General features: G+C 38.2%; 1 protein-coding gene and 1 pseudogene across 4 annotated transcripts in view, besides 1 other annotated feature; both read right to left on the bottom strand.

The window, feature by feature from the left end:
- AGPAT5 (1-acylglycerol-3-phosphate O-acyltransferase 5) overlaps positions 1-16,143 on the bottom strand; it is a 52,862-nt gene that overhangs the window by 32,207 nt on the left and 4,512 nt on the right. For 3 of the 4 annotated variants that reach the window (XM_047421939.1, NM_018361.5, XM_047421940.1), the window contains one exon: positions 4,358-4,427. The exons of the other annotated variant lie outside the window; for it this stretch is intronic. Coding sequence is in view for 2 of the 3 variants with exons in the window: in NM_018361.5 (NP_060831.2) it covers positions 4,358-4,427 (70 nt within the window). In the remaining variant the exon portion in view is untranslated. The remainder of the gene's footprint in view (positions 1-4,357; positions 4,428-16,143) is intronic. 4 annotated transcript variants of the gene reach the window in all.
- Positions 8,211-8,480: a silencer, noted in NCBI's record as "silent region_18885". NCBI's record gives its function as "represses an Ori minimal core promoter by ATAC-STARR-seq in GM12878 lymphoblastoid cells {active_cell/tissue: GM12878}" and the evidence as "EXISTENCE:reporter gene assay evidence [ECO:0000049][PMID:35858748]".
- LOC100422495 (protein tyrosine phosphatase non-receptor type 4 pseudogene) lies at positions 8,287-10,970 on the bottom strand (annotated as a pseudogene).

Here is a 16,143-nt window from a genome sequence, read left to right as displayed (position 1 = left end):
TAGCCAAAGAGGACAGTTTTCCACAGATTACAAGATGATTAGCTCTCAGCTATGGGAAATCTATTAGACAATGCACCATACTAGTCAGAATATCCCAAAAAAGATTTAGCCATTTTAATACTAAAAATTAACCAAGAAAAATCTCTTATCCATTATTATACATCTCTCTTTTTAATCAGGGATTATCATTCACAAGTTAACTTTTTCTTGATGACTTAAGACTTATAATTATTATACATATGAAACTTTTGTTATGGCTCCCTATAAGTAGAATGTTGCTTGCAAAGATTCTCCCCTACAGTGTATGATCCCAGAGACAGACACAACCTGTGTTATTGGGTTGAGATATCTATACTATTGGGCTATCAATGATCACTTTTCTCTAAAGTATATAAATTCCTGTTGAAGCCCTCTCCCTAGCCCCTTCTAATTTAGATGGAAGAAATAATAACTGATAAACATATTTCTTTCTAGTCATGTCTTAGAAACCATATAATCGACCCTGTTATACCTGTACCAAATGCAAAAGTAAGCAGACAATAAATTCTGAGAACTAATTCTGTATGGTTCTGTATGGTTACCAGGCTACAGCACATCTTGGAAATATAGTTGGCGTACAAAGTTAAAAACCAGGTTTAGCATTTTTTCCTGCAATAATTTTTTTATTTGGAAGAATTTTAAAAATGGGTTTTATTTTAAAACAAATGGTTTTATGGTTATATTATGGCCTCACATGCCCCTCCCAAGAACTTTTAAGAGAAAGTGTAAGATTTCCAAAATACATCATGTTCATAATAAGCTGCCCTGGGCTATGCCCTTAAACTTGAATATTTTAGTGGAAACATTTAAGAACTAGCTTAACTAGTCAAAATATAAAAGCTTTGTGTCACCAATATTTGCTACTGAATTCTCTTTATTTCTTGTTTATTCTCAGCTACCTTTCAGATAGGACATCAGATTACAGACAGTTTCTGACTATCTCAGTTACAGCTGAGATTATATTACTTTGACAATAACTTCATATTTTGTGTTCTGGCATAATTTAACTAAGATAGCAATAAATTTGGCTGTGTGAGAATCTTCCATGGCAATCAAGCCAAAGCAGAGTCATAGTTCCCATTAACTTGGAGGAGAGGAGTGGAAGGCAGTGAGGGGCAGCAAGTCTAATTTCCTCATCCCTATCCTCATGAAACAGCAGTTCCTAATTCATGAGGGCCCTGTGTAGTCCAAGAGATACTGCATGTGCAGCGCTTCCCTGCCATGGATCCAGCGCTATGCTAATGGTGAGCTATGACTGTCATCACAACCACTTTTAAATGCCATCTATGAGCCAGGTACGCTACCAGGATTAGGAGACAGCCTCTGTAAGGTGCCTGAAAGGAGCTATCACTCACACCTTACCAATAAGGCTCTGAGAGATAAGTAATTTGCCCACTGACACACAGCCTATTGCAGAACAGCATTTCTGCAATGCCGAACAGGAACCTGGGTCTCTCTAACTCCAAAGTCCATCCCTTTTTATAACATTCTACTCACCACGCATGCTGTTCAACAAGAAAAGTGACACTTCAGCCAAGAAAAGAGAACATTTCATGAGATTAAAAAGGCAAATAGCAGGCAGGGCACAGTGGCTCACGCCTGTAATCCCTGCACTTTGGGAGGCCGAGGCAGGCAGATCACCTGAGGTCAGGAGTTCAAGACCAGCCTGACCAACATGGTGAAACCCCATCTCTACTGAAAATACAAAATTAGCCAGGCGTGGTGGTGCATGTCTGTAATCCCAGCTACTCGGGAGGCTGAGGCAGGAAAATGGCTTGAACCCGGGAGGCAAAGGTTGCAGTGAGCTGAGATTGCACCATTACACCCAGCCTGGGCAACAAGAGTGAAACTCCATCTCAAAAAAAAAAAGGCAAAGTGTTGTCAAAAGTAGATAGTTGAAGGATAAGGGGAAGAAATAACAGCCACTATATCCTGCTGACTCGAGAGAGAAATAAGCTAACAGAGACAGAGACAGAATGTAGAGACAAGGATGTGTCAAGCGAAAACAAGGGAAGAGAGAGACTAATTTAAATGTCAATTCTTTTGAGTATCAGGCCAGGAAACTCATTTATTCCGGCAAGCCTGGCAGAAGACAAACTAGAAAGTCTAAGCAGAACAACAGTCTTTGAAATATTCTTTCCGCTAATTACATTTTCAGAGATACTCTGTTGTGATTCCTAACATCTCAAAAGGGTTTTAGAAGGGTACCTAAACACAATCAGACAATGAACCACGTCTATGGATAGGCTTTAGGGGTCTCTGAAACCCTAAAACTACATGCAAATTTTTATATGCACATTTTTCTAGGAAAAGGCTCTGTCATATACTGACTAAAGCCTGTAATTCTAAAGAAATTTAAAATCATTCCCCTAGTATTTTCTCAACTTACAGAATTTTAAAAGGCTTTCAAAAAGCAGCCTTCCCAAATCCTGCTGGGATGAGGATGTGGTGCCAGAGCGGTGATACAAAGTCACAGGCACTCGGAGGTAGGGTGAAGGGAAGGGGAAGTGGTTCTCTAAACTGATAAATGAAATTCAGGTCAGTATGGTCTGAGTATGAAGATTATCCTTCCCATAGTACCTTCTAGTCCCAAATACATGCAGAATTGTTTTTTTTAATCTGTTTTTTCATGGATGTTTTCTAGAAGTCCTTAATCTGAAGGAATACATATAAAAGCCAACATGTAGTAAGCACACAAATTAACAGTACTAGTGATCAATATTATCACTATCAGCAACACTTCCAGAAATGTTCAGAGAACCCACTCCACAAGTCACTACTAGAGAGCTCTATTAATCGAGTGGAGTTCATACTGAAACCTGGACAAAGAAAAGCTGGCAGGTAAACTGAAGAAGGAATTTTAAGAGAATCCTGTTAAACAGACAACTCTACATGAAATTAACACTGGATCAAAATAAAGGAAATGCAGGAAAATCAAATCTATCAAGAGCCATTCCCTGTACTGGGCCCACAGATCCCTTTTGTTTGATATTTAAAACCTGGAAGAAACATCCATCAGCAGCAGGACAGGAAAAGCAGAATGGTATTAGAAGTAAAACAGCCAATATGTCTGCACAGGCCAGAGTTCTCAGCAGCATTGACCATTGGTTGACTGTTTTGCTATTTTTGCCAAGAGTGAAATGTAATTAGATAAAATAGTCTGAACCAGTCATGTAATAAAGTTGGGGAAAATACTCAGATACATCAAGATTCCTATCAACCCCTTGTAGCTTCAACCCTTGTCCTATAAATCTGAATGTAATCATTAATTCACTAAATTGAGAAAAATGCATTTTAACTTCTTTTACTTTCTATACCTCATCTATGGTATAAGCAGTAATAAAAACCACAAAATCATGAAGAGACAGCTGACAGGAAGAAAATTTAAAAAAAGCCACAGGCATAAGTGATTTCCCTAAGAGTACTATATTGATCAGGTTGTTTTTAGCTTAAGAGTACTATATTGATCAGGCTGTTTCCAGCTTTGAGCTTCTAGGTATTATATTTTTTAAAGTAATAAAAATGCAATTTAGGAAGTACGCATCAAAAGTAGCTACAGGTTTGAAAACATAAGAAGTGGGATTTTTTTGGAGGGCTGAATTATTTGGAGAATTAAAAAGTACCTTACCCAATGACAATTTCCTGATTCTGCTACTGTGCTACAGTTATATTAAGATGTCACCATTGGGAAAAATATTGCTGACAATGTACTCTTTTTGCAAATTCTTGGGACTCTAGAATTACCTCAAAATACAAAGGTTTTTAGAAGTATCTTCACCTAAAGTATATACTGCACTGTTTTGAAGACCAGTTCTCTGCAATTCCTCTGATGGAACAGTAGCAACTAGAATTAAACCAAACCCATTTGAAGAAGGAAAGGAAGAGCAGACACTAGAAATGACGAGCATAGTAAGGAAACGAGTACTTACATACCAATACAGCTTTTCTGCAGCTTAGCAATCAAAAATGTAAAATGTATACACACTTCGACCCACCAATGCTACTTCTAGAAACATCACTTACAAAAAGAATGAATACACTCTTTAAAGAGCTACACAAAGGAAAAACAAAGCAAGCAAGTAAGAAGATAGCTTACTTACATCCAACAGAGGGAGAAGGTAAGTTTAGGAAAATTCATAGCTTTCAAGTTTCTGACTTTCCAAAAAGTAAAATCACAAAAATACAAGAACAGGTGTAATATCTGCACAGAAAATTGCTGTTTTAAAAAACCCACTTCATTTAAATATAAGAACGGTATTTTGAATGCCCATGTGCCATCTGTAGAAAAACCTATGTTTCATGCAAATGAAATACAAACCTGTGCTTTGATGATTTGCTAAATATATTATATTTTCTTTATTTTTTGGCAAATCTCCATATAGCAATATCTAAAAGATAAAACAAAAAAACATTACTTTGATATTTTAAAACATCTGTAATATACAAAGGAAGACAATGTGAAGAAACTGACGAATGATGTTGTGAATATTTCCATCCATGATTAACAAAAATTAGATTTCTCACAGGAGCCTCAGAGATCATAAATAGCGCAGGTACAGAAAGCAGTTATGTATAGTACAGGTTAACGGTAATAAATTAAAATAGAATAATCAATATCCTCATGAGAAAAATATAGCAAGCATTCATTGATTGCTAACAATATATAAAACACTGTTCATAAGATATATCTTCCTTCAAAGAGCCCACAATCAATCTAGTAAAAGAGACAGACATGTCCACAGGAACTGTAATGAGACATAACGCAAATACTATGAAAATATGGTACCTTTTTAAGGTTTTAAATTTGTTTTTTCTTTTTTCAGGACACTAAAGGGTACACAACCTTTTTTAATTTTAAAGAACTGTAAACTGCAGAGCAGGAGTATTATTAGGTAGGATTCTGGCAGATGAGATGAAGGAAAATGTTCATGAGAATAAGAACGAATGGAAGCAGTAACCCTGGAGGCCTGTTGGGAACATGGGCAGTGTCGCGGCTGAGGAGCAAGGAGACCAGAAGGGTGGCTCTGAACTGGAATGGCAGAAGTCTTTTGAATTCCATGCTAAAGATTAAAACTTTATTCTGTAAGTATGAGAGAAACATCATTCCAGTTTATTTTTAAACTGGGCGGTAGGCACACAGGTGTTCGATGTACCTGTATTAGTCCTTCTGCTGTTTTGTGTGTCTTACATATTTTAGAATAAATTTTTCAAGAAACTGGGAGTATACTTGTAAAGACTTAAAAGGAAATGGCTGCTAATGGTGCTAAGTTTTTATTCTGGGCATTTTTGTTTCTGCATCTTGTCATCATGGATTATGCAAGATTATAAATTAGCTAAGGCTTTTTAGATCTATCTTGTCCATAAGGATTATCTTTTGGTCATGACACTATTTATTAATATCTTAAAAAGAGAAGAAAGAAAGGGGCAATTAACCCAACAACTTTGCAGACAAATGCACTTAGATAACATAAAGTTCTGGAAGCCAGGGATGTGACAAAGGTTTCCATTACTTTCCTTAGAAACTGCACAGTGCTATGTATGTAGTATGTTTAAACATTTGCACAATGAGTTTTTATTCATAAAGTTTATCGATGACATAAATGAGTAATACCAATAGCTTGATCTGTTCAGAGTTAAAAGTGACATCGTGGCTTGTGAGTAAATCCCCATTCTCTTACCAACAAGCCAGAATTGCATCAAGACCATTGAGTATGCACTGATTTAAAAGTTTTGCACAGCCCAGGCATAGTGGCCCATGCCTGCAATCCCAGTGCTTTGGGGAGGCTGAGGTGGAGTGGGCGGGCGGGGTCGGTAGGGGCAGGGAGGGAAGATCTCTTAAGCCCAGAAGTTCAAACCCAGCATGGGCAGCACAGCCAGACCCTGTCTCTACATAATTATAAAAAGATTAGCCAGGCATGGTGGTGCGCACCTGCCCACACTCCTTCAGGAGCATCCAGAACACACTGCACACCTAATGACAAGTCCCCAGCCCCTTAGGGACTATGAGCTCCTCAATGGCCTGATCAGTTTTCTACCCCAAGAGCCTAGCACCAAGCTGGTTTTTAACAGATGTTTACTGAATTATTTACACTTTTGTCACCAGTAGGCAAAGCTATACCTCATTTTCAAAATAAAGGTAGTTTCAGAATAAACATAAATAAAATAATTAAAGTGCACCAGTGACTTTTTAAAGGCTTCATTCTGTAAATCTAGTACTCATTTTTTAAATCACATTAGTTCCGTCTACAAATGTACCCTGCAAATAATTTGTCACTTCAAAATAAGGCACAAGAAAACATACGGCTTTTCTTTTTGTTTTTCATAACTCTTTAAGTAATTTTAAGTTCATTATGATTGCTTGTTCATGATAATTTCAGGTTCATCCACTTTTTAAGAACTCATCAGACATCCCCTACAGAAAAAAAAATTTCTCTTTTCATTTATTAATTCAGAGGTAGCCAATAAAAATGATTTCTGAATAACTATCTTCATCACAAAGGACAAACTAGTTATTCTGCTTTCGTCAAAAAAACTTATTTATCTTGCACACACTGGCTTTCAGGAGAAGGCCTGAATTAGATGCGGACCAGTTTCACCTCGCCTTCATCACATCTGTGTTGTTTTTAACTTGCTCCCATGACATATAAACTGCCTATTGATTCTTTTTTAATCTTAAAAACAGGTAGTCATACGGCATCTAAAGTAATCACATGCTTAACACCTTAGCCTCCATAACACAATGTCACAGAGACATAAATATACAGCATTCTTTGTTAAAAAATATATATTCTTCATTTATCTCAATCATGTCCATTTGTCTTCCACATGCAAATCTTGAAACATGATTTTTTAAAAAAAACTTTTGCTGTTGTTAAGTATAGATGATGCTGTTGAAAGAGATCAGAGAATATGCCACACCCAAATATGCTACTTTGGCATAAGGATTATTTTGAGCTGAAGGCACCTGAGACACAGCAGATACAGGAAGAATTCTCTGCCCTTCCCCTAACTGCCTAAGGCAGGACATAAATTTCCCTGTGGAAAGGTGATATGAATTTCCATCTGTAAAGGTGTTTCCCTGTCCCTTATTAGGAGACCAGAAACTGGCAAAATAAACCTGCATAGCAAACCTTATTACTATACATTTCCTAGTCATCTTCCCACAATTTACCACCCCTGGGAGCTGAAATCCTCTTCTCCTTTGACTAGTCACTTTTTCACAATTTATCAGCCTTTGTTAAAAATCACATACAAACCCCTTCTTTAGCCAAGCACAGAGGAGCACACCTATAGTCCCTGCTACTCAGGAATCTCAAGCAGAAGAATCGCTTGGCTTCAGGAGTTTGAGTCCAGCCCTGGCAACACAGCAAGACCCCTGTCTCTTTAAAATAAAGATAAAAATAAAAATAAAAATAAAACCCTCCTTCCCTGTGCATGTAAAAATACTAACGTCAAAAAAATGTGTATGCCTCTTCTCCTGTTAATCAGTCTCTTAATTCACAAGCCCTAGCTACCCTACAAGGGTAAAGGAACAGTCTGCTCTCCCTTATACTGTAACATAAGAGCCACTAAGAGGTAGGTTCTAAAGTAATGGACTTCAATTAAGACTTGAATTTGAATCCTCATCTGTCATTTTACGATGAGAACTTGGGCAAAACACCCAACCCCTCCAAACCTATTTCTTTGCCTGTAAAATGAGTGTAATAATAGTAACTACTCCTCCTGGGATTGTAGTGAAATCAGTGAAACTATGTAAACTACTTCATACAACACCTAGAACATAGTAACCAACTAAAATAGGTTAACCTGTCATTATTCTTATCCCATGAAATGGAACTTTTTATTCAAAACTCTGTTAAGTGATTAATGGATAAGAGAAAGAGCTAGCTAGTCTATCTCTCCCCAGTCTTTGATTACACAGAAGTACAGCTATAAAGAATTTCAATTTCAATATGATTACATATACAATTTACAATGTTTATAATTACTTGAACTTTTAAATGTATTTTTATGCCAACGAAATATATTACCAGTTAATCATTATAAGATTTCTGCTGTAAAGCATACAAAAACTAGTCTTTTTCTACCCCGTTTAAAACGTTTCATTGAATAGTAAAATTATTATGCCCTTCTGAAATAAGATCAAAATAGCAAACAGCTACTTGCCCAATAATCAATACAAACACAATTATCATGCAATAAATGGAACCTAACAGATGACAAAGTTCTTTTTTTCCTTTTGCTTTCTTCAGCAAAGCCTTCTTCATAAGCTTTCAAAATAGTACTTCACACGCAAAACTGTAATGACTAGGTGTTTGGACCATCACGGCTCACTGCTCTCTCATTGTTCTTACCATGTCTAGTGAATAAACTGGCTGACTGCATTCAATGAGATCAATGAGACACATGGCTGTTTCCATAGTATTAAGAACGCTGGTTCTTCCAACTCCAGCACTGCAAGAAACAACAAGGGGTTTTTCCTTGCTAGCCCTCTTATTTTGCATATGAAAAACAAAATCCAGAAAGTCACTGAATCATCAGGGTCTCCATGGTCAGGCCACCCTCTGTACTGGATCTGCGTGATTGATGACTCTCTAATTTTTCTCTTGGTTAAACAGCAGTGTGATCTTCCTGAAGATAAAGACAGTGCTTCCTTCTTCTCAGTGGCAGAAGGCTTGGTAGCATCCATAGGATGAACTTCCTGTGGGTTCTGGCCAATATTGGGGTCATTTAACTCTGCCACATTCAACTTGTGTGGTCAACATTACAAACATGGAGGAGCCTTGTTCCCAAGTCATCTGCCAAAAATCTGTTCAAGTGTGTGGTAACGCCCCTTGACAAGCACTGTTCTGACTTATGATGCTGGAATTACACTGATGTAGTTTTCATTACCTTTAAAAATAACCCATGTAACATCATAAGGAAAACTATCTCTATCTATTTTTGCAAAGGTTCTAAGGTAATCTGGCACCAGAAATTGTCATTCCAAGTTTTTTTTTTGATAAGTTGATCAAATTGTGTCCAGAATGTTCCAGCGATAAGCCCTCGGTTAGCTGGATCACTGACTCCCACAGCACATGGTCATCCTGGTGGACACTATCTAGTGGGGCTTTCTCCAGAATGTACTGGAAGTCTGTCTCATTTTCTAGCACTTCTTCCACTACATCATATGCAGCATAGGTAGAACTAGAAGCATGAGTTCCCCAGAATGTCTCTCACAGTTGGCTTTAAAAAGCAGGACAATCCAATCATGGGTGTGTTCTGTAAAGTCCCAACCACTGATCAATACAACTTGGTCTTCTCTTCAATCGAGAGTCACTGAGGTCAAAGGTGTTCCTGGTGCTTCTCAGGACACGATCACAGACATCTTCTGATCATATCCCCCTTTGCATTGACTCCAAACCTTCCATTTTCGTCAGGTTCACTCGGATTAGAACATGATTATCATGTAGAATACCACCATTAGGAGCAGATTTTTTAAGAGAAGATAGAACATCAACGTTTCATTAATATGATCTTCCAGATCTTGTTGAAAATGTAAATAATGAATTTGGTTCCAACAGTTTTTCTTAGCTTGTTTGGGTGGTAAAGCTGGAGGCTACCCATCTCCAGGGGTGTCCTGTAATAGTGATGATTCCCGAATGATGCTATTAGCTTGTGCTGATAATGGTGATGTCTGATTTGCAAATATTTGGAAGAAGTGTGAACCACATAATCTACCAAATGACCAACAGAAGATGGTCATAATCAGGTTCCCTCTTGTATGAATGCAGAATTTTGATGAGTAGGAATTCCTGTTCCGGGTGGGAATTGTGATGGAAGGCTTTATGTTTCTAATCTTTTCATCAGATATTGAATTCCTGCCTACTACTTCCCAAACTATTAATTTCCACGTCAATGGCTTACTTGAGGATCCTGCAAGTAGTCTGTCTTTATTTGCCTTTTCTTTGCCATACTGAACTAACTGAACTTCAGTTCTCCCACCATGCATTAGGAATTTTGAACCTAATGTAAAATAATGTGCAAAAAAATTCTTTCTAGTTGGAAGTGGTCTGTCCAAACAGAAGAATATGTGATGTTCTAAACTTGCTTTCCACAAATGTTTACATGCCATATAATTCACCATATTAAATCCTGATAATCTTTCTCCAGATTTATGCAAGTCATTTTCAAAGCTGAATAAAAAACTGTTTGCACTTAAAACAAATTTTTACAATCTTCGACCATGGAAAGGTACTCATTCATAGCCTGTTATAAATCAGAATTCCTCTTGACATCATTCCAATCATAATTTTATTGTTACTTGATCCCTTGCATAGTGCAATTCAACTCCACAGAGTTCTAAGGTACTTGCTGTGTTTAGGTAATTAACTGCTGCTTCTCAAGGACATAAGCCTATATGTTGCTGATGTAATTTTTACAATTTCTTTTTCAAAATTTTGAGGATGATCAGGAATGAAAGAATAACCTGAGAGGTGGCCTAGCAAGTTCTCTGACTGACTGTACTCTCCAAGTTTAGTCTGAACAGCAAATGAAGCTAAAAGGGCAGCAGTATCATAAGAACAGGGCAATCTTCCAGTAAGAATGTCTTGTGAAATTTGTAAAAATACTAGTAGTGGGCTATCCATGGAATCATCAGCCGCCTGTAAATCAACATAGTCTTGCCCAGTAAAATCAGGATGCTTGCAGACTACATCTAACAGAACTTGCCACTGATCATGTTTATTCGCACTGAAAGCTTACACAGTGTTTTCCAGAAGGATGTTACAAGCCTCTGTATGCTGTCTGTCTCACGTCAACTCTGGTGCTCGTACGTTGTAGACTGTGGGTTCTGCCAGCAGGAAATTGGAAATGTGAGGTCACGACTGTACACACAAGACCTTCATATCACAGCTGCGTCCTCTCAGCTGAAGAAAGCAAGCATCAAAGCCAGGCAGTGACGGGGAGCGGCATGTCTGCTCTACCACCCACAGCAACCACGTCATGCTGTGGAACTGCCATGGCCTGTGCCACCCAAGAAGGCCACAAAGTTCTTTCTCATACACTCAGCATGCATGTGTCTTTTGGTACTGCCCTTATTTTACATCCTGTCTTTTGGTACTGTTCTTATTTTAGAGGGTGTGTTTTTTCTGAGTATCTATGATGTACCATTCACTGAGCTAGGCAGTTTCACGTATTATCTCATTTTGTCTTCAAAATAGCATGACAAAAAGTATTCCATTTAAGGACGAGAATCTTGAGACTGAGAAGTTGACACTTAATCCAGATGACATACGGAATGGCAGAGAAATAGGAATTACACCTAGGTTTCTCACTGCAAGATCCCAAAATCTTTTGACTGTGACAAAACTACTCTCTGCAAAAATTCCAAATAAAAAATGTCAAGTGAGAAGACTTCTCATATATTAGAAGCTTATGTAATTTTTTTCACTTTGAATATCAACTACGGAATTACAAGGAGTAAAATTAAAAACCAACAAAAAATTTATTCCTATATGAACACAAATTAAGCCCGGAAGCAATGCAATATGTAAGTGCACCAAGAGCTGGCGTTAACTACGTTACATCCAACTTTTAGGTGAACCACCTGCTTACATATGCAACAGCTCCCACCCAGTTAAGTATTCATTTGGACACAGTTGTATTCCTCCTTTATTTCCTCAGTTCTTTGTTCATTTCTTTAATTTGTGAACTATCTCAGCATATATTCAAGTTTTCTTTTAAGTGACATCTTTCTGCACTGCTAAATTATGTGTTACTTTACGGTAGAGACTATGTATTTTGTCAGTCTAGAACATTACACCTTTTAACAGTAGGTGGTTAGCACTTAATATGTGGCTGGGACTTAACATGACTCTCCTTTCCAGGTACCATCACCCTCCTTTCTTTCCGCCCCTGGAATTCTCATGCCAAGCTGGAGGAGCGCAGTAAAGTCGTCTTCCAAATATTACTTACACTTATACACAAATAAGTACTCTAAAATCTTCAAGTAACACTTTCTTATTTGGGGTTTTGATTTCTGGTGCCTACAGAGAAACAGAAGAAACAACATAAAACCTTGGAGAATTGCATAGGCTCAAAAATTACAAAAAGTACTGGTTTTGATTCACAACTAAACCAAGGTTTCTCTGCACTGCTGGCTGCGTGAGAATTCTTTTTTAACTTCTCTGACTTTGCTCATTCTGCCTTACTCTTGAGGGTGGAGTCATGTTTCTTCCTCCTTCATCTATTTAAGGAAAGAATGAATCGGACTCACTAGACTTGGGTACCCTGTTAGAGCAAAACTTATCAACTAGTTATGCCATTCAAAAATCTCCATCCCTTAAAAGTGAGATTCATATACATTTCCACAGAAACACAGACTAGAATTCCCTAGAGTACTCTGCCTTTTCTCTCTGTTTTGTTTTGTTTGTTTGTTTGTTTTGAGACGGAATTTCGCTCTTGTTGCCCAGTCTGGAGTGCAATGGTGCCATCTTGGCTTACCACAACCTCTGTCTCCTGGGCTCAAGTGATTCTCCTGCCTCAGCCTCCCATGTAGCTGAGATTACAGGCAGGCACCACCACGCCCGGCTAATTTTGTATTTTTAGTAGAGAAGGGGTTTCTCCATGTTGGTCAGGCTGATCTCGAACTCCCGACCTCAGGTGATCCATTGCCTCAGCCTCCCAAAGTGCTTGGATTACCAGCGTGAGCCTCCGCACCTGGCCCTTTTACCTTTTTTTTCTTTTGAGACAGGGTCTCACTCTGTCGCCCAAGCTGGAGCCTCTACCTCCCATGTTCAAGTGATTCTCCCACCTCAGCCTCCTGAGTAGCTAGGACTACAGGCACACACCACCATGCCCAGTAAGTGTTTGTATTTTTTTGGTAGAGATGGGGTTTCACAATGTTGGCCAGACTGGTCTCGAATGCCTGACCTCAAGTGATCCACCCTCCTTGGCCTCCCAAAATGCTGGGATTACAGGCATGAGCCACACCGTGCCCAGACTACTCCACCATTTTTGTTAAAAGAAAAAGTAAAATCAAGTCATTCTTCCCATTATTGCCATCTCCAAGAGGTTACAATGTTGCAGAGGAGATGATCCATACATTAAAATATGCTAATGTTATATCAGTATTATATATGTTAATATTACATAAAAGTTACCCTGACAATGAGATGGGGTAACATCATGACAGATGGAGAAAAGCAAGGGCTTGAGTTGGAATTCCAGAGAGGAGCGGTCTAATGTGGGGAGGGGCGGCCCAGAAGGAAAAGCTAGACTAGAATGAAACCAACGAATGGAAAAGTTAACCGGGGCAGAATTTAGAAAACCTTGAATGCCATGCTTCAAACTCCTCATGTTTATTATGTTATCAATTGAAAACCTCTTTTCCCTAAACATTCCATGTTAATTACGCATGTTCAAAGTAAAAACTCCAAGTAATTTTTATAGCCTTCTCCACTAACCCAAGCAAAGAGTTACTTTAAAGAGTTACTTTACCTCTGTATGGCAAAGTTAATAAACACGTCTCTAATTTCAGTGTTATCCTATATTGTAATTGGCAGTTCATGTCTTTCCTAGATGAATACCTTGAAAGTAGGGGGTCTCATTTCAACCAATATAACCACATTGCCAGGCAGAGCATCTTCAGAAAATAAGTGCCTGAAACTCCTGGCTAGGCTACTACAGATGTGAACCATGGGTGTTCCCTTTTCCTTGTCTGTAAAAGAGGAAGAATGGTGCCTACTTTGTAAAGATGGAATTATTTACATAATAGAACAATACTTGCACACAGCAGCACTCACTAACTGCGACTGAGTGTGTTACTAACCCACCCTCTTCTTTTTCCTCCACATTCAATCACAAAGCCCTATCAGCTACCACTAAAATAGATTTGGAATTCTTTTCAATCTTAACATCCACTCTTTCCACTCCCCTAACCATCATTTCTCACCTGGATGACTACATTACCTTCCAAGCTGGCCCTTTTACAGAGCTCCACACAAATGTCACTTGCTCAGTAAGATTTTCCAAACCCCTACCTCTCACCCACCAGGCTAAACAACCTGGCATGGCACAGTAAATTTTCATTTTCTTGTTATTGTTTGTCTTCCCACACTAGAATGTGACCTCCATAATGGCAGGTACATTGTCTATCAAACATTGTACCCCTTGGTACCCAGGACAGCACCTGGAACAATGTACACACGGGAATATTGCAGGAATTAAGGGATCTGGGTTCTAGAGATCCCTTACTGAAAAGTCATTACTTACTATTGAATGGTCCAACCACTAACATCAACCTCTAGTTAAGAAACCATAATAAAATGAGAAAATAGTAAAGGAAAAGTTAACTTCTGATTCCACTTGAGAAGCATCAGCTCCACAAAATCAGACAAATATACAAAAGAGGGAAAGTAAACTAGGTATATACGGAGTGCTGTTTTCCCGTGCCTTCCATCGTAATGGCACAGAGGTATCCCCATAGGTATGCAGGTATATTTCGTGCTACTGTACTAAAAAACTGATCTGTAAGAAGTTCATTTAACTAAAGAACCTTCCCACAATTCAAACACTTACTCAAAAGCTCTTGGAAGAAATCTAAAGTTACACACCAAACTGGGATGTACCTAGGAAAGGTGTACGCAGTGTAGGAGTAGGGGAAACTTTAACTTTCTCAAAGTATTGTGGCAGTGTTTGAATGTATAATTGCATCTGTGATTTTAAAATAGAAAAATCAGGCATTAAAAAACTATACACAAATGCAACCTGAAATAACTGGTTTGTTCACAGAGGTTTATATTTATAAAGTGTAAAAATAGAGTTCTAGTTACATTTTTTTAGTATTTTCCTATAAGTCTAGTAAGTTAAGCAGTTCCCTAACCAGAATTTAATTGTGTTAGACTGGAATTGTATTTGATTGGGAAATGTTTAATTTCCTATAGTAAAAGTTTTTATTATCCTGCTTAAATAAGCAAATGCAGAAACACACCCACACCTACACAGTCCTGTCACTCTCAGCTAAAGTGAAGGAAGCAATTTAAGATCTATTTAAGGTCTTCACATGAATGGCAAATAAGCAGAGAAGAGTAAAATTAAGGATACAAGGTATGATTCATATTCTTGTTAGGACTATAGGTATCAGAGACGACGCTGGGCAACATTTTGGCAGAAGTGCAGAAAGAATGTAGAAGTGTCATAAAAGGGAGTAGACTAGATGACTTATAAGCTCCCTTCTCCAATTCTAAGTAAACATGTTTCATTCTAATGAATGGCTGCTTTTACAGCAAGATTCAGAATATAAATTTAACTCATTAGGAGTTTAGGATTAGTTTGATGAATCAGTGCTACACAAAGAAAGATCCAGTTATAAATGTTCTCTAGATAAAAAGCCTTGACTGTTTCTGAGAAACTTGGAACAATGTTTCAGTTAAGAGTATGAATCAGCTAAGCATGGTGGATCAAGGACGGATCACTTGAGCCCAGGAGCTCAAAACCAGACTGGGCAATATGGCAAAATCTCGTCTCTACCCCCACTAAAAAATACCAAAAAAAAAATTAGCTGGGCATGGTGCTGTGTACCTGTAGTCCCAGCTACTCAGGAGGCTGAGGTGGGAGGACCGCTTGAGCCCGGGGGCAGAGGTTGCAGTGAGTGGAGACTGCACCACTGCACCTCTGGTTTGGGCAACAGTGTGAGATTCTGTCTTACAAAAAAAAGTATGAATCCTTGGAGAAGTTAAGGGCATATTAGAGAAATGTCAAAATCTTAAATTCTTTATCTTCTTTCTTGTGTTTTTCACACTATTTTACACTTAAAGCAGGTCAACTGAAAACCTGTTTATTTTATATAAACTTAAGAACTGTGCATTTTATTGTTATATTACATTAGCATTTGGAGAAGGGGGAATTAGCAGTCAGAGCCACTAATGTAAAATATATTCTGAAGTAAATTCCAAGTGTTACCAACTGATTTAAGCAAGATAAATCGGTAATTAGAATATTTATTAGGGGCTAGGCATGGTGGCTCACACCTGTAATCCCAGCACTTTGGGAGGCCAAGGCAGAAGGATCACCTGAGGCCAGGAATTCAAGACCAGCCTGGGCAACACAGAAAGACCCCATTTC

This window comes from Homo sapiens, chromosome 8, assembly GCF_000001405.40.
Source record: "Homo sapiens chromosome 8, GRCh38.p14 Primary Assembly".
Lineage (NCBI taxonomy): Eukaryota > Metazoa > Chordata > Mammalia > Primates > Hominidae > Homo > Homo sapiens.
This window is presented reverse-complemented; position numbering and strand designations above follow the sequence as displayed.